Source organism: Homo sapiens, chromosome 2 (genome assembly GCF_000001405.40).
Source record: "Homo sapiens chromosome 2, GRCh38.p14 Primary Assembly".
Classification (NCBI taxonomy): Eukaryota; Metazoa; Chordata; class Mammalia; order Primates; family Hominidae; genus Homo; species Homo sapiens.
The window spans coordinates 162,430,482-162,457,396 of record NC_000002.12 but is presented as its reverse complement, the minus strand read 5'-3'; the positions used below and the strand labels follow the sequence as shown (position 1 = coordinate 162,457,396).

At 34.6% G+C, this 26,915-nt stretch overlaps 1 protein-coding gene across 7 annotated transcripts in view; it reads left to right on the top strand.

Annotated features, from left to right (window-relative positions):
• KCNH7 (potassium voltage-gated channel subfamily H member 7) overlaps positions 1–26,915 on the top strand; it is a 467,361-nt gene that overhangs the window by 381,371 nt on the left and 59,075 nt on the right. For 6 of the 7 annotated variants that reach the window (XM_017005220.3, XM_017005219.3, NM_033272.4 and 3 more), the window contains 2 exons: positions 10,954–11,379; positions 21,800–22,199. In XM_017005220.3, coding sequence (XP_016860709.1) covers positions 10,954–11,379; positions 21,800–22,199 — 826 coding nt within the window. Of the gene's footprint in view, positions 1–10,953; positions 11,380–21,799; positions 22,208–26,915 lie in introns of those variants that run through there. The other variant, XM_017005221.3, reaches the window with a different exon arrangement.

Sequence of the window (26,915 nt, the reverse complement as noted above, 5' to 3'; positions counted from 1 at the left end):
AAGAGAAAATGTAAATCTTTCTGGAGGCCATGGAGTTTCCCTTTTTTTATTCCTTATTTTTTTCTCTCTCTCTTAAAAGAAAATCCTCGTAATAGTTCAATTAATCATGTTTTATCTTCCTGAAGTATGTTATTTCTCAAATGTGTGGGAGAAGTTGGCTTTCTTAAGGAAATGTAAGACTGTGTAGCAGCTTTTTTCCTTTTTAGTCATTGGCTTCTTAGAATCCTATTCATGTTGTTAAAACATTTACTTTGTTAGTGCTTCATTTTCAGAAAGGATGGCTCCAAAGCACTGTCTTGATTAATTTTAACTTATTTGTGACTTTCAAAGAGATAGGAGTAGACCTTATAAAAATACATTTGCATTTAGGTCATTAAAAATTAAAATTGACCAATTCAAACAAATTAAAGGGAAACAGGAATAATAATTCTGTAATTCTAAACTCAGTTTTCTGCAAGAAGAAAAAAAGGAGACAATTAACTAAATAACCTATTGTCTTATTAAAAAAGGAAAGAGAGAGAGAGTATGGAGGAATATTTAACAAGCAAATGGAAGCAAAAAAAAGCAGGGGTTTGAAATCCTAGTCTCTGATAAAACAAACTTTAAACCAACAAAGATCAGAAAAGACAAAGAAGGGCATTACATAATGGTAAAGAGACTGATGTAACAAGAAGACCTAACTATCCTAAATATATATGCACCCAGTAAAGGAGCACCCAGATTCATAAAACAAGTTCTTAGAGACCTACAAAGAGACTTAGACTCCCTCGTGATAATAGTGGGAGACTTTAACACCCCACTCTCAATATTAGACAGATCGAGACACAAAATTAACAAGGATATTCAAGACTTGAACTCAGCTGTGGATCAAGTGGACGTAATAGATGTCTACAGAACTCTCCACCCCAAATCAGTAGAATATACATTCTTCTCAGTGCCACATGACACTTATTCTAAAATCGACCACATAATTGCAAGTAAAACACTCCTCAGCAAATGCAAAAGAATGGAAATTATATAAGGAATGTATAAATTATAATTTGTATAATGTATAAATTATAATTTCCATTATGTATTATGGAAATTATAACATTATAAAATATAACCACAGTCCAATCAAATTAGAACTCAGGATTAAGAAATTACTCAAAACCTCACAACTACATGGAAATTGAACAACCTGCTCCTGAATGACTGCTGAGTAGAGAAAGAAATTAAGGCAGAAATCAAGAAGTTCTTTGAAACCAATGAGAACAAAGAGACAACATACCAGAATCTCTGGGACACAGTTAAAACAGTGTTAAGAGGGAAATTTATAGCACTAATTGCCCACATCAGAAAGCTGGGAAGATCTCAAATCAACACCCTAACATCACAATTAAAAGAACTAGAGAAGCAAGAGCAAACAAATTCAAAAGCTAGCAGAAGACAAGAAATAACTAAGATAAGAACAGAACTGAAGGAGATCGAGACACGAAAAACCCTTCAAAAAATCAATGAATTCAGGAGCCGGCTTTTTGAAAGGATTAACAAAATAGATAGACCACTAGCTAGACTAATAAAGAAGAAAAGAGAAGAATCAAATAGACACAATAAAAAAATGATAAAGGGGATGTCACCACTGACCCTACAGAAATACAAACCACCATCAGAGAATAATATAAACACCTCTATGCAAATAAACTAGAAAATCTAGAAGAAATGGATAAATTCCTGGACACATACACCATCCCAAGACTCAACCAGTAAGAAATCAAATCCCTGAATAAACTGATAACAAGTTCTGAAATTGAGGCAGTAATTAATAGCCTACTAACCAAAAAAAGCCCAGGACCAGACGGATTTACAGCTGAATTCTACCAGAGGTACAAAGAGGAGCTGGTACTATTCCTTCTGAAACTATTCCAAACAACAGAAAAAGAGGGACTTCTCCCTAACTCATTTTATGGGGCCAGAATCATCCTGATACCAAAACCCAGCAGACATACACACAAAAAAGAGAAAACTTCAGACCAATATCCCTGATGAACATTGATGTGAAGATCCTCTATAAAATACTGGCAAACCAAATCCAGCAGGGCATCAAAAAGTTTATCCACCATGATCAAGTCGGCTTCATCCCTGGGACGCAAGGCTGGTTCAACATATGAAAATCAATAAACATAAGCCATCATGTAAACAGAACCAATGACAAAATTCACATCATCTCAGTAGATGCAGGAAAGGCCTTTGATAAAATTCAACATCCCTACATGTTTAAAACTCTCAATAAATTAGACATTGATGGAACATATCTCAAAATGATAAGAGCTATTTATGACAAACCCATAGCCAATATCATACTGAGTAGGCAAATGCAGGCAGCATTCCCTTTGGAAACTGACACAAGACAAGGATGCCCTCTCTCACCACTCCTATTCAAGATAGTATTGGAAGTTCTGGCCAGGGCAATCAGGCAAGAGAAAGAAATAAAGCGTATTCAAATAGGAATAGAGGAAGTCAGATTGTCTCTTTTGGCAGCTGACATGATTCTATATTTAGAAAACCCCATCTTCTCAGCCGAAACACTTCTTAAGCTGATAAACAACTTCAGGAAAGTCTCAGGATACAAAATCAATGTGCAAAAACGACAAGCATTCCTGTACACCAACAATACACAAGCAGAGGGCCAAATCATGAATGAACTTCTGTTCACAATTGCTACAAAGAGAATAAAACTTACAAGGGGTGTGAAGGACTTCTTCAAGGAGAACTACAAATCACTGCTCAAGAAAATAAGAGAGGACACAAACAAATGGAAAAACATTCCATGCTCATGGATGGGAAGAATCAATATCATGAAAATGGCCATACTGTCCAAAGTAATTTATAGATTCAATGCTATTGCCATCAAGCTACCATTGACTTTCTTCACAGAAATAGAAAAAATCTACTTTAAATTTCATATGGAATCAAAAAAGAGCTGGTATAGCCAAGACAATCCTAAGCAAAAATAACAAAGCTGGAGGTATCACGCTACCTGACTTCAAACTATGCTACATGGCTACAGTAACCAAAACAACATGGTACTTGTACCAAAACAGATATACAGACCAATGGAACAGAACAGAGGCCTCAGAAATATCACCACACATATACAACAACCTGATATTCGACAAACCTGACCAAAGCAATGAGGAAAGGATTCCCTGTTTCATAAATAGTGCTGGGAAAACTGGCTAGCCATATGCAGAAAACTGAAACTGGACCTCTTCGATACACCTTATAGAAAAATTAACTCAAAATGGATTAAAGACTTAAATGTAAAAACCAACACTGTAAAAACTCTAGAAGAAAACCTAGGCACTACCATTTAGGACATAGGCTTGGGCAAAGACTTCATGACTGAAACACCAAAAGCAATTGCAACAAAAGCCAAAATTTACATATGTATCTAATTAAACTAAAGAGCTTCTGCACAGAAAAAGAAACTAGCATCAGGCTGAACAGGCAGCCTACAGAATGGGAGAAAATTTCTCCAATCTACCCATCTGGCAAAGTTCTAATATCTAGAATCTACAAGGAACTTAAAATTTACAAGAAAAAAACAACCCCATCAAAAAGTGGGTGAAGGATATGAACACACATTCTCAAAAGAACACATTTATGTGGCCAAGAAACATATGAAAAAAAGCTCTTCACCACTGATCATTAGAGAAATGCAAATTAAAACCACAGTGAGATACCATCTCATGACAGTCAGAATGACGATTATTAAAAGATCAAGAAACAAAGACGCTGGCAAGGCTGTGGAGAAACAGGAATGCTTTTACACTGTTGGTGGGAGTGTAAATTAGTTCAACCATTGTGGAAGACAGTGTGGCAATTCCTCAAGAATCTGGAACCAGAAATACCATTTGACCCAGCAATCCCATTACTGGGTATATCCCCAAAGGATTATAAATCATTCTACTATAAAGACACATGCACATGTATGTTCATTGCAGCACTATTCACAATAGCAAAGACTTGGAACCAACACAAATGCCCATCAATGATAGACTGGATAAAGACAATGTAGCACATGTACACCATGGAATACTATGCAGCCATAAAAAAGAATGAGATCATATCCTTTGCAGGGACATGGACAATGCTGGAAGCCATCATTCTCAGCAAACTAACACAGGAACAGAAAACCAAACACTGCATGTTCTCACTTATAAGTGGGAGTTGAACAATGAGAACACATGGACACAGGGAGGGGAACAACACACACCCACACAGAGGCCTGTTGGGGTAGGGGGCAAGAGGAGGGAGAGCATTAGGACAAATACCTAATGCATGTGGGGCTTAAAAGCTAGATGATGGGTTGATAGGTGCAGCAAACCACCATGGTACATGTATACCTATGTAACAAACCTGCACATTCTATACATGTATCCTGGAACTTAAAGTGAAATAAAAATGAAATAAAATAAGAGAGAGAGAGGAAACTTTTAAATTCCTTGAGAGACCAACCGTTTCCTAGAAACGAATATTAAAAGAAATATGTAATGCAAATATTTATTAAAATGACATTAAACAATGTAAACATTTAGTGGCAGTTTTCTGAGAAAAATGCAAAAATATACTTCTTATATATTCAATCCAGAATGAAAGCTTGAAGGTTTAATATGTAACTCTAGCAAAGTAAAAGTATTTCAGTAAGAGACCTAAGGTGATGAGTCTCTGAAATGTGGCTGTATTTTAATCTAACTTAATGAGCAATGTAGCTAAGTACACTCAGAGCAATGGACCTCTGCAGTTAGCATCTCTGAGTATCTTGGAACATGATTTTCCCATCCACCAACTTAACAGAAGCTTGATGTCAAAGAGTTCAAGGTTGGGCAAAATTGGGGTTGTGTCCAGTCTGTATGGCTGAACACAGATCTACATAATATGAACTAGATATGCAGAAGGCAAAGTAAACATTCTGCTGTGTAAACAGGAATCTAAATTTGCCTAATAAGAAACCAACTCAATTCTTACAGAGGTAAGCCTCTATGATGTTTGTAAACCTATTTCTTTTTTTCAATCAGGAAACTCCATTCTTAACTATCTTAGACATTTCTGAATAAGATTCTAGAATTCTTTTCTTAACCTGTTTATTTTGAAAAATTTTAAGTTTATTATAAATAAATAGTAACTATCCATCATTCAGTTTCAATAAAAATCAATATACAGCTAAAATTCAGACCTTCTCTCTCCTTCTTCTCCCCCAACTCTGGATTGTTCTGAGGCAAAGCCCAAATATTATAACATTTCCTTTATAAATATTTCACTCTGTACTCTGAAAAGGTAAAGACTATTTTTAAAAGCACATAACTATAATATCATTTCCGTATCTACAAACAATAATTGTCAATAATTTCTGTGATAGTTTGTCTCCAAGATAACCCTAACTGATTGAATCCTTCCTTTCCACATGCATATCATTTCCCTGTCAAGAGATAGAGAGCATTCCCCTACTTTCATGAATCTGGGCTGGCCTGCTTCTACTTTTCCCAATAGAATATGGCACAAGTGAGGCTATAGAAGTTCTAGACCTTGACCTGAAGAAGCCTGGGAGTTTCCACTTCTTTTGGGAGTGCTGAGCCACCACATCTTACTACCCTGCTTAAGAGACCATAGGAGAGAACATATCTATTTATTTATTGATTGATCAAACTATCTATCTACATATATAGAGAGAGACCCAGCCACTCCAGCATCTTGGGTGAGCCCAGCCTTCCAACTATCTTCATCAAAGTACTAGACATGTGAATGAAGCCTTCTTGGACTCTCCACACAAGCTCCCCCACCAACTAAACATCACTGAATTACCCCAGTTGACATTCTGTGGAGAAGAAAAATTGACTAGCCAAGACCTGCCTAAATTTTGGATCCATAGAATCATAAGTAACAAAATGACTACTTTAGGTCACTATGTTTTGGTTTGATTTGATACAAGGAATAGATAACTAAAACAATTCTGTAATATTATCAATATTCAGTCAATATACAGCTTTATCCAATCAGTTTTTAAATATTTTGGATAGAGTTGGTTCGTTTGAACCAGGATTTCAACAGATAACCCTAGAACTCAAAACAATAATGAAAATATTTTATGCATCTGTAAACATTTCCCATTTTACCAACTACTTTTATAAAAAATATCTGATGTTATATGGTAGCTCTGGATAGATAGGTGGTTTTTGCAAAGATTACTATCTACATTACACAATTTTTTTAAAAAAAGAACTAGGTCTAGAGATTAAATGGCATATCAGAACAATTGTATCTGGACTTCAAACCCAGATTGTAGAATTTAAGGTCTAGTGCTCTTTCCTTTATTCCAAACACTTCAAAGATTTATATTACCTGATTGGGTCTAATAAGATTTGCTATTATTGGAACCATAAAGAAACAAGTATTTCTCCACTCCTCATCCTTATACCCTGAGATGTATCTATTCTCAAATATATCCCCTCCTCTCAATTTCTGCCACCTGGTTCCTAGTGTAGGCTTCCATTACTTCCCTCCTGGCATACCAAAGTCCTAATTGATCTCTAAGTATCTGGTCTTGATCCTCTTTCATTTTTCCTCCATTCCATTGCCAGATGCATCTGTCAAAAACCAAACTTGGCCACCTTGATTCCTCTGCCTAATAATATTTAATAATTCTCAAACTGATATCCATAGAAAGAAATGTTCTCAGAAGGCCACGAGTCCTGAAAAATCTTCAAAATTCCTGTATCTTGGTGAAAATTTAAAACAATAAATATAAGAATCTTCTGAATCATTAAGATGATTACCTAATAACAAAGTACTGCCATCTACCTGATTACAGTAATGATGACTGCATTTGGATTTACCTCATGATGCTAATGCTTGCTATATAAATAAAGCTTTTTGAAGTTGTTTGGCTATTAAAAGTCATGAGACAATTAAACGGTCACATAAAACATGCATAATGATGCAGAAATCAAAAGAACCAGTACCATAACATTTGATACCATACCAGTTTCTACAAATGCATTGTCAAAACACACTCCATTGTTATACATACCAAATTGCAGTGGTTCTGTGTCAATGGGCGTATTGGAATACAACACATGAACTCCCAGTACTAAGAGATAATGTGTTTAGATAATCACTTAATGTAGAATTCAATAATGCCCTAAAGCTAAACTTAAGTAAAGAAAAATATTTGTATAGTTTTCAAGTAACACCATTTAAATTGGCTTTTGAAGCCTAATAGGAACAGAGTTCACATTAAGAATTAGGTTAGTTTATCATGATAACGCAAGTAAATCTTTGAAGTTGGTAATACTACTCTGACAACATACTTTTTCAAAAAATACATTAAGATTAGAACAGAGAAAAATGTTGTATCTATTAGATTAAGCCATACACAATAGTCAAATTTCAATCATTTTTGATCTACAGAAATGTCAGATATTGAGTTAGTAATGAGAGTTTGAATTCACTGTTTTATAAATATTTTATTTTCAAGTGTTTTCATTTTTTGTCATTGTATTAGTTTTTTCAGGGCTGCCATAATAAACTACCACAAGCTGAGTGGCTTAAGACAACAGAAGTTTATTTTTGCACAATTCTGTGGTCTAGAAGTCTGAAATCAAGATGTGGGCAAGGTTGTTTCCTTCTGGAGGTTCTGAGGGAAAATACATCCTGTGCCTGTCTCTATTTGAGGTTCTGGTGGCTGTGGACAATCCACAGCATTCCTTGGCTTGCAGCTGTATCTGCTCCCGTGACACATGGCATTTTGGTTGTGTGTCTTTCTGTCTCTGTATCCAAACTTCTCTCTTCTTATAGGGATACCAGTTATTGGATTAAGGCCCACCCCAAACCACTGTGACCTCATCTTAACTTGATTTATATCTACAAAAACCCTCTTTCCAAATAAAGTCACATTCATAGGTACTGGGAATTATGACTTCAACACATCCTTGTAGGGTACACAATTTAACCCACAAGTCATATTAAGAGTTATAAGCATAAGAAGTTCTAATCTGTTTTTATTTTTGAACATATTTATCTAACATTGTAAATAAGAATAATATAAATCCTGCAATAATTGTCTTTCCTTTTAAAAAAAGAGCCTGTATATTATTCCTGTATGAGAAGGTTGACCTAAAGTACAGAGCCTGAGATCCCTATCCAGTCACATTAGACCTTCAGCAACCTGGAACTGGCCCTCTCCATGGCCGTCCTCTACCCTACTTCCCTGGCATTTTATTCTTTAGTAAAATATAAGGCTGCTTACAATTCCCCAACACACAACACATGATTTTATGCTTTCTTACCCTTGTTCATTCTGTCCCCTCTGCTTGTAATATCCTTCCCTTCCCAACTTCCTCATCCCTTAGCTGTGTCCTTTTCTGACTCCTATTCAGTCTCAGTTCAACTGCCATCTTTTCCCAAAAATCCTCTGTGAAGACTACCCACCTACTCCATCAGCACCATCACCAATCCCAGGCCCTGAGTGAAGTGGACCTCAAGGGGACTCCCATTTTCCCACACATCTGTCTCCAAACAGACTACAAACTCCAAGATCTCAGGGACAGTGTCTTCCCCATCTTTCAATCTCCAGCTCTTAGCACAGTGGTCATCTGAATGTTAAATGAAGGTGTGCCTGTGTGCCTATGTGGGATGGAAAGAGTTTCAGCCACAGTTCCAAGATTGCTGTTTGCATTCTAATTCATACTTCTGCTAAAAGAGGTATTGCAATTGCCCCATGTGGGAGGTTAGTATCGGAAGTTTGTCACCTAAGCAGTGAGCAAACTCACACAAATATACCTGTCATTAAAAGTGACTTATTTTTCCTCTTTGATTGACTACACGCCTTTTTTATGAAAAAGATTTGTGGATTTAAGGATATGGAAAGATCTCAGCAGCTCAAAAATTTTAGTCTTGTTTTGCTGGAGTGCCCTGGGTACACAGGAATCTAATGGAAGAAAGGACTAGAAAGATGGAATGGGTCCATATTTTAAATGACTTTAATGACTTTGAAAGCCAAAATAAAGCTGTGTATTTTGCTTTCTATATACTGAGTAGTTCTGCTTTTCTAGAAAGGAACATGACATATTTCCTTTTGTACAGACCAAAATGTCACACACTGGTTCTCTATACTAAGCATAATGGGATCAGAGTTCTATTAATCTGTACTTCTAAAATGACAGATAATTTAATTACTCCCGTTTGGATTTTGAAAGTCATATACTTATATATGTGTGTATCTTGGACTTTCAATATTTCACAGATAACAAAATCACTTTATTTTCCAGATTGCTCTTTTGCTAATAATTAGCTGCCATCATTTCTCATAATAGCTTAAAATAAAACCCTGTTCTCTCTATAAACTGGCTGGTTCAAATTTACAGTGGACTGATTAAGTGGTCAGGTCAGATTCTTTATTATTTTTTGAAAACTAGTTAAAGTAGTTTAGCAGTTATCAAAAAGCAGCTTTGCCTATTTTAGCTGAATCTTTTGTTATATTTAAAAGTTATATTGTGTCTCATTTGGGGTTATTTAACTTTCAAAGTCCTTTTAAAACTAGGGATGGTAACTCATTATGTGGGGATAAAAAGGTACGAGATATGACAATAAATATAAGATTTAAATTTCAAGTACACGTGACATAATTCATTACTACAGTCAAGTTAAAACAACATGAATAGAATTGCCAAAAACACAGAAATAACACTCTCTGACTAACCAATGGAGGATTACCTGAGATCCATGCTGCAAAGCTGATGATGTATTAATTGTGTTTAGAACAATCTAGTCTATGGAAATGTACTCAGTGAAATTAACTTTGAAATAGAGCCATTGTATATGTGTGGGATATTCATAGCATTAAATTAGAACCCACATTTCCCTTTTTAAATTGCTCTTTTTATGCCATTTGTGGAGCCATTACAAAATTTCAGCTTTTTAAAACCCATATATTAAGGCTTACATTTTACCCAATAAATTACACTTACTGGGTAGCTAAGTAACCTTTTTGTTTTGACTTTTGTTTTTAAAACTTAGTCTTAAATCACTAAATCATGGACTTTTCTACTTGGTAGAGACAAAACTGTACTTTAGCTTTCATTTTTTTCAGGTAAACTAAAACTCTAAAAGGTGAACTGTTTTAGTTTATCTGATGCCTTATAAGGAGAATAAATCTTGGAGGTGAAGTACCACTTGGTGTCTAAACACCTTGCAACATTTCCAGGTCAATATTCTGAACATCTCCTTGTAGCATTTTCTTTTTGCAGTTCTCTAAATGTGATGGAAGGGTTGGAATGCAAGTGTATTTGTCCCGGAATATCAAATACTCTCTCAACCTTTTAAGGAAAAGCCTCTTTTGTGTTCATTTTAATCTCATTTGCCTTTTTTCCCCTAATGTTAAAAACAGATTGCAGGTGGGAAATTCTGCTTAATTAAAATTTGAATGAGTTGGGTTTAATTTATCAAGGTGTAATTATAAATTAAATATATGTAAATTAAATGTGACCATGGATCCAAGTAGACTGCTTCTATTCATAACAACTAATCCTTTCCTAGATTTGAAAACTGCATTACTAATATATCAAAACCAACTTTGTGATTTTCTAAAAACAGCCATGTATTTTTACATCTGAGATGTACTACGTTCCAAAGGAAACAGTAACATTCCTCAGTATCTCAGTGGCAATATTTATTATTTTTTCAGTGAAATTCATATTTATCAAGAAATGCCATTGTGATTTTCTTGAGCCAAATACACTGTATAAGTTTATATGGGTTTATGTAATGTATGTGTGTGTTTCATAAATACTTCCAAATTACATGAATTCTCTCTAATAAATTTTACTGTATAATTAGTTCCCTTAATATTTGATAGGTTTACCAGATTAAAAATGGCATATTTATGTAGTGTATGATTTTCTTTTGCACATTCAGGTTCTCTCTTTAGGAGCAGATGTCCTACCTGAATACAAACTGCAGACACCACGCATCAACAAGTTTACGATATTGCACTACAGCCCTTTCAAGGCAGTCTGGGACTGGCTTATCCTGCTGTTGGTCATATACACTGCTATATTTACTCCCTACTCTGCAGCCTTCCTCCTCAATGACAGAGAAGAACAGAAAAGACGAGAATGTGGCTATTCTTGTAGCCCTTTGAATGTGGTAGACTTGATTGTGGATATTATGTTTATCATAGATATTTTAATAAACTTCAGAACAACATATGTAAATCAGAATGAAGAAGTGGTAAGTGATCCCGCCAAAATAGCAATACACTACTTCAAAGGCTGGTTCCTGATTGACATGGTTGCAGCAATTCCTTTTGACTTGCTGATTTTTGGATCAGGTTCTGATGAGGTAAGAACTGCTTAAGATTCTTATTTTCTGAAAGATTGCAATTATAAAAGTGAATCTATTTTAACTGCAAAAAGAAGAGTTGCTTTGCAAGCTTCTTGTATCTCACTGATAAAATTCATTTTCAATTGGGGATACTACAGAATGAAATGAAACCATTTTGCCATTGCAAATCAAATTCTTTCTCTTTTTGCTAAGAGATGCAAAAGATTCTCCATTCTTTACCCACCAAATTAAACTTGGAAACAAGTGGTCCATAGCACACAGCACATTCCCAGGATTTAAAATCTCTACTTATTAACTTCACGGGTGTAAAACTCTCAAATATTAAGTATGTCTCTGTTTTTCTTAACTCATTGTTAAGGTTTGAGACAGCAGAGATTTGTTTTTTGTTCAAATTATGTGAAGAGGGCACCTTCCGAAATGTCTTATTCAAATATGCTTTCTCTTAAATAATATTCAGCTTGGAAAGTACTTTTTGTGTATCCCAATGCCTAATAAAGTTGGAAACTAAGAAAATACGAGAAGTGTATGTATTGTGCATTTTCTGGATAGAGAGTCCAGAACTTTAATCAGCTCCTCAAAAGACTCTTTGATCCAAAAGAAGTTAAGTTTTCCTACAGTTCACTTCATCTAATTTCCATTATTTTTACCATTTATAAACTTTCTGAATTCTGTAACAGAAAGATTTATAGAATGCTTGAAAGTAGTTCCAAGGGAATAGGTTGAAAAAATCCTCGATATGTTGGATTTTTAAAAATTGTGTCTTTTTCTACATAAGAACCCTGCCCTGCACCAACTTCCTTCTCTCCCCAACAAAGAGGAGACCACCTCCTCTTGGCAGATGGCTGCTTCCTAGCCAATGAAGGCTTTAGAACAACATAATCCTCCTCGACCAAGGGGAACCAAAAGATTTTATTTCTAAATCTATTTATTTGTTAGAAATAAACTCTGATCGAACTGTGAGTCAGTTAAGAGCAGGGCAATGAAACAATACATTTTTCCTGGGTTCTACAATTTTAAACAAAGTCCCAACCTGACTTTCCTCATCTGTAAAAGGATGATAATAATATTACCTTCTCCTCTTGCTTTTTTTTTTCTAATTTGAGACTCTAATGAGATAGTACATGTGACTCAGCAAAATACTTTTTAAAAATCAGCTGTTCTTAATTAGCTGAACTTTTAATATTAGCTACTCCTAACTTTGGGTTTTAACTAAAAGAGAGTGAAATATTTCTTTATTAATATATATCTTTGAGTTTCTTATAATGGGTGGTTCACATCATTGCACCAAATAAGCTTATGTTGATGAACAATAAAATAAAACCTCATTCTTTCAAAAGTTAAAATATATGCACCAACAGCAAACATTAGTGATTTGTAGACAAGCTTAGAAGTATAATGGGAGAAGTTGTAAGAAGTTTGTGTCTTTTAAATTTTAAAGTCTGAATTTTAAAATGCACTAAAAATTCTGGACATAATGTAAGTGTTACCCCCAAATTAAAATCTAGTACTGCTGCCAATGTAGATCTTAGAACTAGAAGTAACCACAGGAAATTATCTAGTTCAATCCTCTGCCTAGGAAGCTAAAGTACTATTTACAGAATGAGACTGTTGAAACCTAGAATTGTTCAGTGATGCTCTCAGTTCTATTTTCTGCATTACTCTTAATTACTAATATAATACTTTATTTATTCAAAAATTTTTTGTTAGGTACCCTTCAAAGTGACAGCCACTGTCCTAGGTTTAGAGATTCAGAAGTAAATCAGACAAAGTTTGTGTTGTCCAGGAACTTACATTCTAGAATTGAGGAAGAGGGGTAGGGGATGGCAGAGGGCAAAAGACCATTAATAAACAAACCAACAAACACAGTGCAGAAAGGTTTCAGGAAAGAGTAAATGCTGTGATGATAGCAAAGCAGGTGGATGTGATAGAGAATGACCTGGATGGATGGCTAATTTGAATTGGAAATTACAAAAGGCCAGTAAGGAGAGGCCATTTGAGTTGAGACTTGATAGGAAGCAACCATCCACATGAGACCACCGTGCAGAGCATTTCACACAGAAGGAAACACTAGTGAAAATGTCGCATTTGGGGAACAAGTTTGTTATGGTAGAGGAACAGAAAGATGGCTGGTGGCTGCCAGGCTGAACCACACAGTAAGAGGTGGAATGCTAAGGTTTGAGAAGGCAGAGACAGAGACCAAATCACCTAGATATGTGGGATTTCTTACTTATTCTGGCTGCAATGGAGTCTTTGGAACAGGAATGATACTATCCGATGGACATTTTGAAGACTGCAAAGGCTGTCATCTGCAGACTGGAGAGTCAGGCTAGGAGCAGGGAACTAGTTCAGACCACATGTTGTGATGCAGGACAAAACAACAGCTTGGTAGCAACAGAAATGAAGAAAAGTAAAGAAATTTGGGATATATTTTGGAGGTGAGCTGCCAAGGCTTGTTGATGGATTAAGTATTGAATGGAAGAGTAGGAGAAAAAGCAGAATTAAGGGTGGTGCAAACATTTTTTGTTGCTTGTTTATTCTTATTGAAACATTTCTTTGGTGAAGGGCAGGAGGGTTGCTGAAGCAGAATTATAAATGGTAATGCATTTATTCAGATGAAAAAACCTTAGGGAGAAAAAGTGTGTTGTGGGGAAGAAATTCCTGTTTTAGCCAACTTAAGTTTGTGATGACTATTGGTTATTGAACTACAGGTGACATGTAGGCAAGTCAAGCACCCCATGAGCATCTAGAAAAATAATATGTCAGTATAAGAAGAGAAATGAGATCCATTAAATTAAATGTTAGATAGAATCCTGACAAAGATTGGTTTGGATCAGCTTCTAGACAAGAACCATGTGTCAGTTTTCTGTGTGGATCTGTTAAGGGTCTGGAGACACATATTTGACAGGTCAAAAATAAAGCCTTAAAACCTACACTTTTTAAAGTGGCAGGGATTTTGTTGTTTAGATATACAAGATCCAGTAGCCATATCTGGGATAAAGAGGAATCCCAGGAGAGGGCTTTCATATGTTCATAGATGAATATTTCTACACAGTAAATGCATAAGTACATAAATAAATGCATAAGTACATAAATAAACAAATTAAGAGTGATTTTCAACAAATTATAAGAACAGTCGTAATTTCTTAATTGCTTAATTTTAAGACACGGTCTCATTCTGTCACCCAAGCTAGTGTGCAGTGGTGTGATCTCAGCTCAATGCAGCCTCTGCCTCCTGGGCTCAAGTGATCCTCTGCCTCACCCCCCTGAGGAGCTGGGACTACAGGCAGACACCACCATACCCGGCTAATTTTCATATTTTTTTGCAGAGAGAGTTTCACTATGTTGTCCAGGCTGATCTTGAACTCTGAGCTCAAGTGATCTGCTTGCCTCAGCCTCCCAAAGTGCTGGAATTACAGGCGTGAGCCAGTGTGCCCGGCCCTAAAATGTTTTCTATCCATCAAAGCATCATAGATGAGCTTAGAAAACATAATTTTGTCAATGTCAATTAAACATTAATATCTTCTTTGCCAATTTCCCTAAATGTTAAGATACTGTAACACTTTTATTTACATTCAACCCTAGAAAAAAAATCAACTTTGTATCTATATTATGTAATCTATGTAACAGGTGTTAATAAATGCTAAGAGGATATATTGGCGTATACGTTTTTACTAAAGAAGACATGTCACGGCCGGGCGCAGTGGCTCACGCCTGTAATCCCAGCACTTTGGGAGGCCAAGACTGGCGGATCATGAGGTCAGGAGATCGAGACCATCCTGTCTAACACGGTGAAACCCCATCTCTACTAAAAATACAAAAAAATTAGCTGGGCGTGGTGGCGGGCGCCTGTAGTCCCAGCTACTCGGGAGTCTGAGGCAGGAGAATGGTGTGAACCTGGGAGGCGGAGCTTGCAGTGAGCAGAGATAGCAGAGATCGCACCACTGCACTCCAGCCTGGGCGAAAGAGCGAGACTCCATCTCAAAAAAAAAAAAAAAAAAAAAAAAAAAAAAAAAAAGAAGACCTAACTATTTAATTTTTTTCTCACATGGTTACAAATCACCTACAATAAGTAGAGGATATTCTATAATGTTAAAAAACATGTTGAAGAAAATAAATACTGGCAATAACTGGGCTTGCCTATGTCATTAATATCTCCCTGATGATAATGCCATCCAGAGAGACAATAAAAAGATTCTCTATTTCCTAATTTCTGCATCAGCAAACATCATACCACCCATTATGTCAATCATTGGCAAATTTTTTCTGTGTCATTGGTTCAAAGGAATAATGTTATTGGCTCAGTCTCCAGAAAGTTAACTTTTGATTATCCGCCTCATATTTTCCGGTATTTAGCTCATCTATGGCAAATCTTAATTTCAGAGATATTAGCAGCTGAAATCTACGAAACTCTGCTCAATTACATGCTTCATTAACCTCTTACTCCCCAGAAAATTAGGATTCTTGCAATTAATTATTTGCTTCATTGACCCCTTTCCTTTCACACTTTACCGTTATTTTTTCTGAATCCTGAATACAAGCAAAGAAGGCCTTTGAAACCTAAGTAACTACTGTGCTCTTTGAGGGAAAATTCCAATAGAAAAGAGGGATTCTGATCATAATAATATGTTTGATTTATTAGTCTGATAGATGAATTGTGAAATTGATGCAAGGAAAACATTAGCAGGTATCTATATGCAAACTCTGAGCATTTCGACAGCTGAACTTGATCTTTATAATAGATATCATTAGTTTATTTCTAAAACATCCAATATAATCATGTTCAACTTTTAGGAACAAATCATATTTTGCAGACACATATACATATACATTTCTACACATAAAGTTGCTAAGTCTCCTTAGATGGTTTTTGGGAGTTTAGACAGAAGTTTCTATTGGCTTATATTTGGAGCTATTGGTCATGCCTCTAAAAATGTATGGCATGACTTTTAAGAGATATGAGATCCCCAGTGGAAAAATTATTTTGCTTTTAGTTGATCATTTGTTCGTTTGTATGTGATTGATTGTCTACATTTTGCTAGAGATGGCATAAAGTATAACCCTTGGTAAAATATTTCTCAGGACAAGTCAAATTATCATTTAAAAAATATGACATCCCTAGTTATTTATTTGTTGTAACATTTGCATACTACTGTTTAGAATCACTTGATGGTCAGTTGTCTGCTACTGTACAGAAAGCCAAAGTGAGTTCAAATTGCAGAAAAATAAAATGTTAATTATAAAACAAAACAAAAATAAATGTCTCAATAATAAAGGTTATTAAATATTGAAATGAGTTTCCCAGTGAAATTGTAAAAATCTCCTCTTTAAAAGCCATACTTTAGAAGTATTTGTGAGGTCTGATATAAATAAATTACAATCTAGGTAATTCCCCAAGATTTTAGACACATTCAAAATATATTTCTTTGATTGTATTAGTAAATGCATCCTTAGAAATATTGCAATGATGTGGTTAAGCTGAACAAAGGACTAGAAACTAGTTTCTGATATTGTTGAGCTTTATTGGATAAATAATTGAATGATGTATATAAATACCAGAACTTAGAGGGGATTAGCTGAAATGAAATCTAAAGCAAAATATGAGTGTGGAGTAATGAAATTTATTACTTATCTCGTGTTAACATTTCCCCACTTGCACCCAAATATTTATTGACAAAAAGGACAAGTGATGGATTAAGTAGAAAGTTTCAGTGATCATTCATTCTATCAACCCTGCATATGAAACCAAAGATCACATACTTACATATTTTTATTTATAGAAGAATAATTGTATCACTTATTTATAGGCAAAGGTTTTAGAGAGTAAATTTCTGAAATAATATATTTTAAATATAAGATTCTTAAAAATGTTTACTAAAAAATAAGGTACAATTATTTTTCAAAAATTTTTTAATATTTTTGAACAAAATATTTTTTCTTATTAATGAGTCTCTCTTCATTTAACTGTAGACAATTTATTCTTGAGTAGAGAGTTGTTTAATACTGACAAGAAGTTACTTATTCTAATTTCAAGCCTTCAAAAAGAATTCCACTGGCATGAAGAGAGAATCTTGCCTGATTTATTGTAAAATATCTACAAAAAACAACCACACAGTCTTCTTGAGTCTGGACTTAGTATCTAACATACATACAAAACTTCATTGTTTAGAATATATATATATATTTTTTAAATAGTGCTTAGTTTAAAAATTAATGTACCTAATAAAGGGAACTAACTTCTACCTCAATATAAGAAGGCATCTAGGGCTTTAGTAAACAGTGGATGTGGATGTGTTTTTAAAGTTTTGAAATTGAATGATATTAATCAGCCACCCAGCAAAATGAATAATTGAATTTTTGGAAAGAGAGTTACTTTAGATTAAAAACAATAATATTGACAAGATACATTAAAAATAAAAATCTCACAGAGACTGACTTTACTGTGACATTTTGGAAAAAAGAGTTGGAAAATTATTCAATCACAATAAATAAGTTGAGTTCTGAGATAGCATGGGTGCTGGTGGGTGAAGTCTTGACTTGTTAAGAGTTCATTATGTCCCCTTTGCTATAGTTAGTGGCAGGACTGGAAAACAAAGTGCCTTGCTTCAATGTACTGCAAAATGACTCACCTGTTTTTGTATCTTATTTTCATTATGTGTTTGTATTTTATAACAATAACCACATTTTGCCATCTAGTGAGCTTTTATGCTCTTTTTAGTTGCTTTCAAGAATAACAATAAACAGACAATATTTTTCTAATACCAGTGAAAAGTTTAAGAAATACCATCTAAGAGACAGTTTTTTACTCTAGTTTTTAAAATTGTGAACAAATTTATGGATAGTTACATTTATTATATTTTCAAAAATCAAAAAATTGGGATTTCCATCATGTCTGGATATTACATGAAATTAGATGTGCTGGGAGATAATTATGCATTCTGAAAACAATTATACTCAGTCAAATTCTGATCTTAGCACAATATAATAGAGTAGTTGTTGGTCCTGTTTCACTTGCAGGTAACATAAAGATGGCCCATTAAACTAAACAATGGGGCTAAGGGTTCATAACAAATTGGCAGGAGAAGATTAATAATTATTAAATCTACTCTCTCTTAGATTTTAATGCAATCACTTCTCTCTATTCTGCAATCTGGGGCAAGACACCTTAAGTTTTTAAAGAAATATTAAAATAATAAGCAGGAAAGAGTTATTACAATCCTAAGCATCATCTACAAGATGTGTTATACACAACTGTAGCTAACAAAGAATGCCCAGATGTGTTAGCCGCAATTTGATAACAATAGAAGTAAGGCAAGGCATCTGTTACATTGTCAAGCCAGCATATGTAGTTATTCTGCAGTACATGTTACAGAATTACAAGAGAATAGCTTTGACTGTTGAAGTCAATATTCACTCATCCTTATAATGCAACTGAGAGACATAATTACTACTTAGTAATTTCTTCCCCTTCCCCCTACTTTGTGGCTCTCTCATTACTTCTGCAATTATTTAACATGAATACTGTCATACATGTTGAGACTTCAACATGTCCCATATATCTTAAACTTTCTTTTTCCAGAAATGATGTCACTTGTATGTTACTATGCACATTATATTGATTTATCTGCTTAGAGAACTTACTGTCATATAGATTTTGACTTCATTTTGATAGAATGCTAGAAGAAACATCAGAGATTTCTTTGGAAGGAAGGCAAAAAGGAAGGTTGCATGCACAGCAGATTTCATTGCTCTTCTTATCATAACATCATTTTTACTCTACCGTCTTTACAACCAGCAGAGTCATTAGTACTTATTATCACAATATGTTATAAAAACAGCTCATTTATTTTAAAGCTTTTCACTTCATTTAACCAACTATTTGGAGAATTTTTATTATACTTCATTTATTTTGAGGATCAGAAAGAAATTTGGCTCCAAAAACAAGAAAATTTTAACCATAATTCTCAAATATTTCTGATTTCTCAGGACAAATAAACAGAAAGTAGAATTAAGAGGAAAAATAAACATAGGAAGCTGAGCTGTGTAGAAATGGTGAAATGTTGAACCAGGGTGACTCCTACCAGAGTCTGAGCAGTCAGTGTGCCTCATGAAGTCCCTTTGTTTCAATGCCCCTGCCATTTCTTGAGGCGAGCTGCAAGGCCAGTACGGAAAGGCCCCCACTTGTGATTCCAGATATCTAAGTATTGCGTTTAAAAAGGGTGGAAGCTCTTTCAACCCATTTCACAACATAAAGTTCCTGCTTATTGATGGAAAGAAAAATGTAAAGGATGTTTAAATAGAAACATAGAGTTCCTGTTTATTGGGTATTATCTATAACTCTGTAAGGTTGGCCTTATTATTTGTATTCACAGATGAAGAAACTACACTTCATATACAGATGAAGTGTAAGATTAAATGAATAACTTATCCAAGGGGACATTCTATGGAGGCAGAATTCAAACATAAGTTTGTCTGTTCCAAAGTCGTAGCACATAACTGCTAAGCTAAAATATTGATAATACATATATTAGAAAGTTTGCTTTTCTCTCAGGGATCCAGCCAATAATAATTTAAAACCTATATTCATTCATAGGGAAGAAATATACTTTTAAACCTATAAAGAAGAAAAAAAGCAAGCACCTTCATTCCACTCTGAAAAACAACTCAGTACTGGAGACAGAGAAGACTCACCTCTCTAAACATCCCCAAATGAGCAGAGACCAGAGTCTAGTTATGATAAATACATGTCAACTACACAAGTTCCTCTCAACTTTAAAGGGTTCCAATACTAACAGAGAATAATTCAGGGGAGACTAAGGGATCCCCTTTCCCTTGTGATTGCTATGGCACAAGGGAAAAACAAGAAACTGTAGAACACTTATTAGAACATTCTTTTAAAGACAGGGTCTTGCTCTGTTGCCCAGGCTTGAGTGCAGTGGCACAATAATAGCTCACTGCAATCTCAAATTCCTGGGCTCAAGTGATCCTCCACCTCAGCCTCTAGAATAGCTGGGACTACAGGCATCCACCACCATACCCAGCTAATTTATTTTATTTTATTTTAATTTTTTGTATAGGCCGAGTCTCACTATATTGCCCAGGCTGGTCTCAAATACCTGGGCTCAAGTGATCCTACTGCTTCAGCCTGCCAAAGTACTGGGATTATAGGCACAAGCCACCACAACCAGCAAGAACATTTTAATGAAAAAGCTTTTTTAATATTTAGTGCTCCTTTTTCATCATCAATATTAATACATAGGGTGTGGTAGTTATTCCATGTGCTATTTCTTCCATTAAGATATAAGTGTTCTTAATGTAGTTGGATGTGCTTTGGGAAATAAGCAGCAACAATGAACAGATAAAATAACTCAATAATTGATTGGTAAACACCATGTAACTATGGAATAATTATATGCCCTGTGAATTATATAGTACTTATAGTTGACATTATTTAGGAAACCTAAGAAATGAACTTGTAATTTGTACTTATCAGATTTGAAGTCCAAACAACCAGTTAAGTATCCTGTTATTATATAGAAGTAGCCTATCATTAGATACCCGGTCAGTAATAATCACCCAATTAGTTACACATATCATAGCCAAAAGCAAAATGCAATTATAATATCACTGGGACATCAAGAAATAATTTCTCAATTTAGCACACTTAGGAATAAAAAATGCATTTAAATGTAGTGCCTAATTCATGCATGCAATCATCCAATAAGTGTTCCCACAGTTATGGGAAGAAGGGGCTTGACTGGCTCCTTCTCATTATACAGATGGTTTGCAACTCAAATGTCAGCTCCTCAGCAAGGCCCTTCTTGGTCTTCATTTTTAAAGCAGTTTCTACCCCAATCCATGCCTCCAAATACCCTCTGTCATATTTCTCTGCTTACTATCATCATGGCACTTTGTTCTCTCTGAAATTAATTATTTGTTTGTTTTTAAAAAATCTCTCTCTCCTCAGTAGACTAGGATCTTGTTTTCTCTTCATTAGATTAGACACTTTGTCTGTTAAATAGCTGTCTCTATTAGGAAAGTAACCATGTCTGTTTGTTTAACACTATAATATCAGCCTGTGGCGTTAGTAGGCACACAGTAACACACTAGAATGTATGTTGGTGAATGAATGAGTCACTGAGGACTTATGCAAGGCACTTAGAACATAAAACAAGACAGATTCTGTGCCCCATGTCTTGCATGCCACAATACTGAATTAATGTGTCATGCACTTTCAAAGTATTTTCCAAAGCAGGTATCACATAAAAAAAAAAGAACCAAGTTTAATACTGAATTTAAATAGGCAGTTATCCTTAATGCTACCCTATTGTCTTAACCTGTTTTTGTCCACTTTGCTTCATATGAATGTACTTTGAATTGTTTGCCGACCGTTTCTGACTGTGTACATTTATTTCTACAGACAACAACATTAATTGGTCTTTTGAAGACTGCCCGACTCCTCCGTCTTGTGCGCGTGGCCAGGAAACTGGATCGATATTCAGAATATGGCGCTGCTGTTCTAATGCTCTTAATGTGCATCTTTGCCCTGATTGCTCACTGGCTGGCTTGCATTTGGTATGCGATTGGGAATGTAGAAAGGCCTTACCTGACTGACAAAATCGGATGGTTGGATTCCTTAGGACAGCAAATTGGGAAACGTTACAATGACAGTGACTCAAGTTCTGGACCATCCATTAAAGACAAATACGTCACAGCACTTTATTTTACCTTCAGCAGTTTAACCAGTGTAGGATTCGGGAATGTGTCTCCTAACACGAATTCGGAGAAAATCTTTTCAATTTGTGTCATGTTGATTGGCTGTAAGTAGCTTTCTCTTCTGTTGTCTATTAGGATAGAATAATACCTTGAAATTAATATTTCTACAATATTTAGAGTAAGGCAAAGAAAAAGATTACAGAAAATTGAGGAGATAATGGGATTACATATATGGGTACTGTATTCCATCAAATCTGATTCTCTCTGTGAAGTAGAGACACCAAAAGGTCTTTTTGAACCTTAGGGAACTATGGGCATAAAATTGGAGCAACATGGTTTCAGGAATTGAAACTTGCAGTCCAGTTTTACTGCTATACAAAGAGTATCTGTAATTTATTACCAATGGTTATTTTCTATTTCAAGCTGAGGCTAGATTAGAATGGGAAATACTCATTTACACTACATGATGATAGATAGATAGATATAAAAAATGTACAAACATAAAAAATGTTAACCATATATATCATTACAACAATTATTCTGTAAACTGATCTTTCATATACATATGTATGTATGTGTATATATATATATATATACATGCAACATACACATACCAATTTATACATAATATACATGTAATTTTCCCTGTCATTGACTAAAAATTTCTTTTCCTGTGGCATTATGTCAAGATCTAAGTGATTGGTTAATGTCATGAGCATCATTCATAACAGATATTCTTTGGAATTAAAAAAGCTTTGTTAAAAGATGTTTTAATATTAACATGTATTTTTTAATAACGCTGCGGAGCCACTGAAGGTGAACTTGCTGTTTCCAGGCAGCAATCAGCAAAAGCATAAAAGCATGATGGATTTTTGTTTTCATTTTTTCACCGTATTTTAAAAAATAATTTCAACTTTTATTTTAGATTCAGGGGGTATGTGCACAGGTTTGTTACATGGGTATATTGTGTGATGCTGAAGTTTGGGGTATGAATGATTCCCATCACCCAGATCATGAGCATAGTACCCAATAGGTAGTTTTTCAGTCCTTGCCCCCATCCCTTTATCTCACTCTACTAGTCCTCCATGTCTATTGTTCTCATCTTTATGTCCATGCGTACGTAATGCTTAGCCTCCACTTATAAGTGAGAACATGTGGTCTTTGGTTTTCTGTTCCTGTATTAATTCACTTAGGATAATGGCCTCCAGCTGCCGCCATGTTGCTGCAAAGGACATGCTTTTTTTTCTTTTTTATGGCTGCATAGTAGTCCATATTGTATATGTACTACGTTTTATTTATCCGGTTTACTGCTGATGGACATCTAGGTTGATTCCATGTCTTCTTCAGTGTGAATACTGCTGCAATGAACATATAAGTACATGTGTCTTTTTGGTAGAACGATTTATTTTTCTTCAGGTATATACCCAGTAATGGAATTGTTGGGTCGAATGATAATTCTGTTTTAAGTTGTTTGAGAAACCTTCAAACTGCATTCCACAGTTGCTGAACTAATTTATATTTCCCTCAAGCAATAAATGCTTATATTCCCCAATATAAGCATTCCATTTTCTCCACAGCCTCACCAGCATCTGTTATCCAGATGGTATTTCCTAGGTTTTCTTCTAGGATTCTTATGGTTTGAGGTCTTACATTCCAATCTTAAATCCATCTTGATTTAATTTTTGTAGATGGTGAAAGATAGGGGTCCAGTTCAGCACTTCTGCATATGGCTAGCCAGCTGTCTCAGCACCATTTATTGAATAGGGAGTCCTTTATACATTGCTTATTTTCATCAACTTTGTTGAAGATCAGATGGCTGTAGGTGTGCAGCTTTATTTCTGGGTTTTCTATTCTATTCTATTGGCCTATGTGTCTGTTTTTGTACCAGTACCATGCTGTTTTGGTTACTGTGACCTTATAGTATAGTTTGAAGTCGGGTAATGTGATGCCTCCAGCTTTGCTCTTTTTGTTCAGGATTGCTTTGACTATTCAGGCTCTGTTTCACTTTCTATAAATTTCATAATCGTTTTTTCTAATTCTGTGGAAAATGACATTGGTAGTTTGGTAGGAATAGCATTGAATCTGTAAATTGCTTTGGGGAGTATGGACATTTTAACAATATTGCCTCTTTTTATTCATGAGCATGGAATGTTTGTCCATTTGTTTGTGTCATCTATGATTTCTTTCAGCAGTGTTTTGTAGGTCTCCTTGTAGAGACCTTTCACCTCCTTGGTTAGATGTATTCCCCGCTATTTTATTTTTTGACTGTTGTAAATGGGATTGCATTCTTGATTTGGAACATTATTGGTTCATGAAATGCTACTAATTTTTGCACATTGATTCTGTATCTCGAAACTTTACTGAAGACATTTATCATTTCTAGAATATTTTTGGTTGTTTATAGGAAGAGAATAATATTATCAGCAAAGAGGGATAATTTGACTTCTTTTCCTGTTTGGAGGCCTTCTATTTCTTTCTCTTGCCTGCTTGTTCTAGCTAGGACTTCCAGTGCTAAGTTGAATAGGAGTAGTGAGAGTGGGCATCCTTGTGTTGCTCCTGCTTAATGGGAATGCTTCCAGTTTTTTCCCATTCATGATATTGGCTGTGGGTTTGCAACAGATTGCTTTTATTATTTCAAAGTATGATCTTTCAATGCCTAGTTTGTTGAGCGTTTTTAATCAGGAAAATTTTGGATTTTAAGCATGGTTTATTTCTAAAGATTCAAAAAGAACATCATCCTTAGAATGCATAGAAAGTTGAAAATAGATCCTGATCGTTGATTTTTAAATGTCAACATGATAATAAAATGTGCTTAGATAAATCCCTATTAATGAAATTTAAATAAATTCACCAAGTTTATTGTCTACTTTATATAAAATGTACTTTTCATATTTTTAGTGTTATTTTAGTAGCATTTGTATAAACAAATAACATTACATTTCAATAACTATTAAGACATTCTACAAATTCAGTCCAAGTCTAGGCTGCAAACACAGAAGTAACATTGTACCCAGAAAGAAATGGAAGTTGAATCTCCTAGAATAATAGAAATATGTATTCCAGAGAGACAGAACACAGAGCAAACACAGTTCCAACCATTTTGCGATTAAAACTAATAGTAAACACTTTATAGGGGTCATCTGCTTTAGTGGCATAGGTATCAAACAAGGAAATAATTGATCTTAATTAAACACATATATAGCAGAAATATCCTTTTAAGAAAATAGAACCTGTATTTTGAAACTTAGAATTTTTAAGAAAGACTTTTAAAAATGCACTTAAGTTTAGCCAGTTCACCACTCAGTAATCCACACCACTTGTGAGGATTAAGTAAAATACGTAGTGCTATTTATCATGTGGATTTTTTAAAATTGAAGATAGCTCAGTTCTTTACTTGCTCTACACCTGATCTCCATTCCCTCAATCAGGGAATTTTAGGCAATTTTCTTCCTTTGTCCTTCCTTCCTTCCTTTTTTCTTTCCTTCCTTTTTTTCCTTTTAAATATAGCACTAGACTATTTCTATTAATTTATTAAGAATAATACATGTTTTCTGCAGATGAATTGTATCTTTCAAGAAAAAAGAAAACACTCTAATCAAATTGATTACAGTAAGATACACCCACATTTCACATACCATCATTTATTTGAATATAAGACTTGGTTCTATACACCTTAATCCAAATGGGATTATGTAAAGCTTTATGTCACACAGGAAATACTTTATAGGTACTCCTGGAGAACTGCACCATGACATATTATGTCATAAATAAGGAAAAGAGTAAAATTAAGACTTGAAATTTGGCAATAATAAGAATACTGAAATTTATGTACCCATTTTGATGTATATAGGTGTATATGCACATGATATTCCCAGTTAAATCTAACTATATTCAAAAATGATATGGTTTTATCTATGCACATACTCCTCAGACCCATTAGTGGCCTTATTTTAGCCTGAAAAAAATAAAATAACAAAAAATGTGATAAAAGATCGTATATGTGCTAATTACAACTATTGTGGTTATCAGGTTGAACTTTCTCAGCATCCTGTGTTTAACTCTAATCTTTATTCTAAAAGAAAAATTGAAGCCAAGTTGTAGAAAACAAGGCAATCAGCCTTCTATCTTATAGCGATATAATTGAAGGAAACTAAAAATAAAACATTAAATGCAAATAGTAAATATCTAATGCATATAGATTGTTATATGCATTTTTAAAAGCTGCTATTTGCAAAGACAGTTTTTGTACTGCTGACTGTGTACAGAGTACAGTAACCAGATAATACATTTTAAAAGTGTGTATAATTCAAAATAAAAAAGGAAGACTGTGAAGTCATTAAATAATTGTAAATATAAGTGATGCTCATATGTTTATACCTGTTTTCTAACATATAGCATAATTTTATATCTTAAATATTATAAATAACATGTATATATTTAATTTTTAAAAACACGTAAACCAGAAAAATAAAGGCAAATGTATTCCATTTCTGACCTGCTTGACAAGCATCTTGATTGGGAGAATTTCTTATTTTTGTAGCATGTAAAAAAAAAAGTTACTGGAGTTCTGCTTCCAGTTATGATGGAGTTACTAAAACCTTACTCTCCTTCTATTAAAAACATACAGAAAACTGAACAAAATATATAAGGCAATTGTTTTCAGGCACTGGAAAATTAATAGGGAAGTTTGATCCCTGAAAGAAGGAAAGCAAACAATATGGGCCACGTGTTATCTTGGCTTTTTGCCTGGAGGCACTTCCTGGACCACAGTGAACACAGAAGGGAGAAATAACCTAAGCAGACCCCAGCAGTCTTACGGA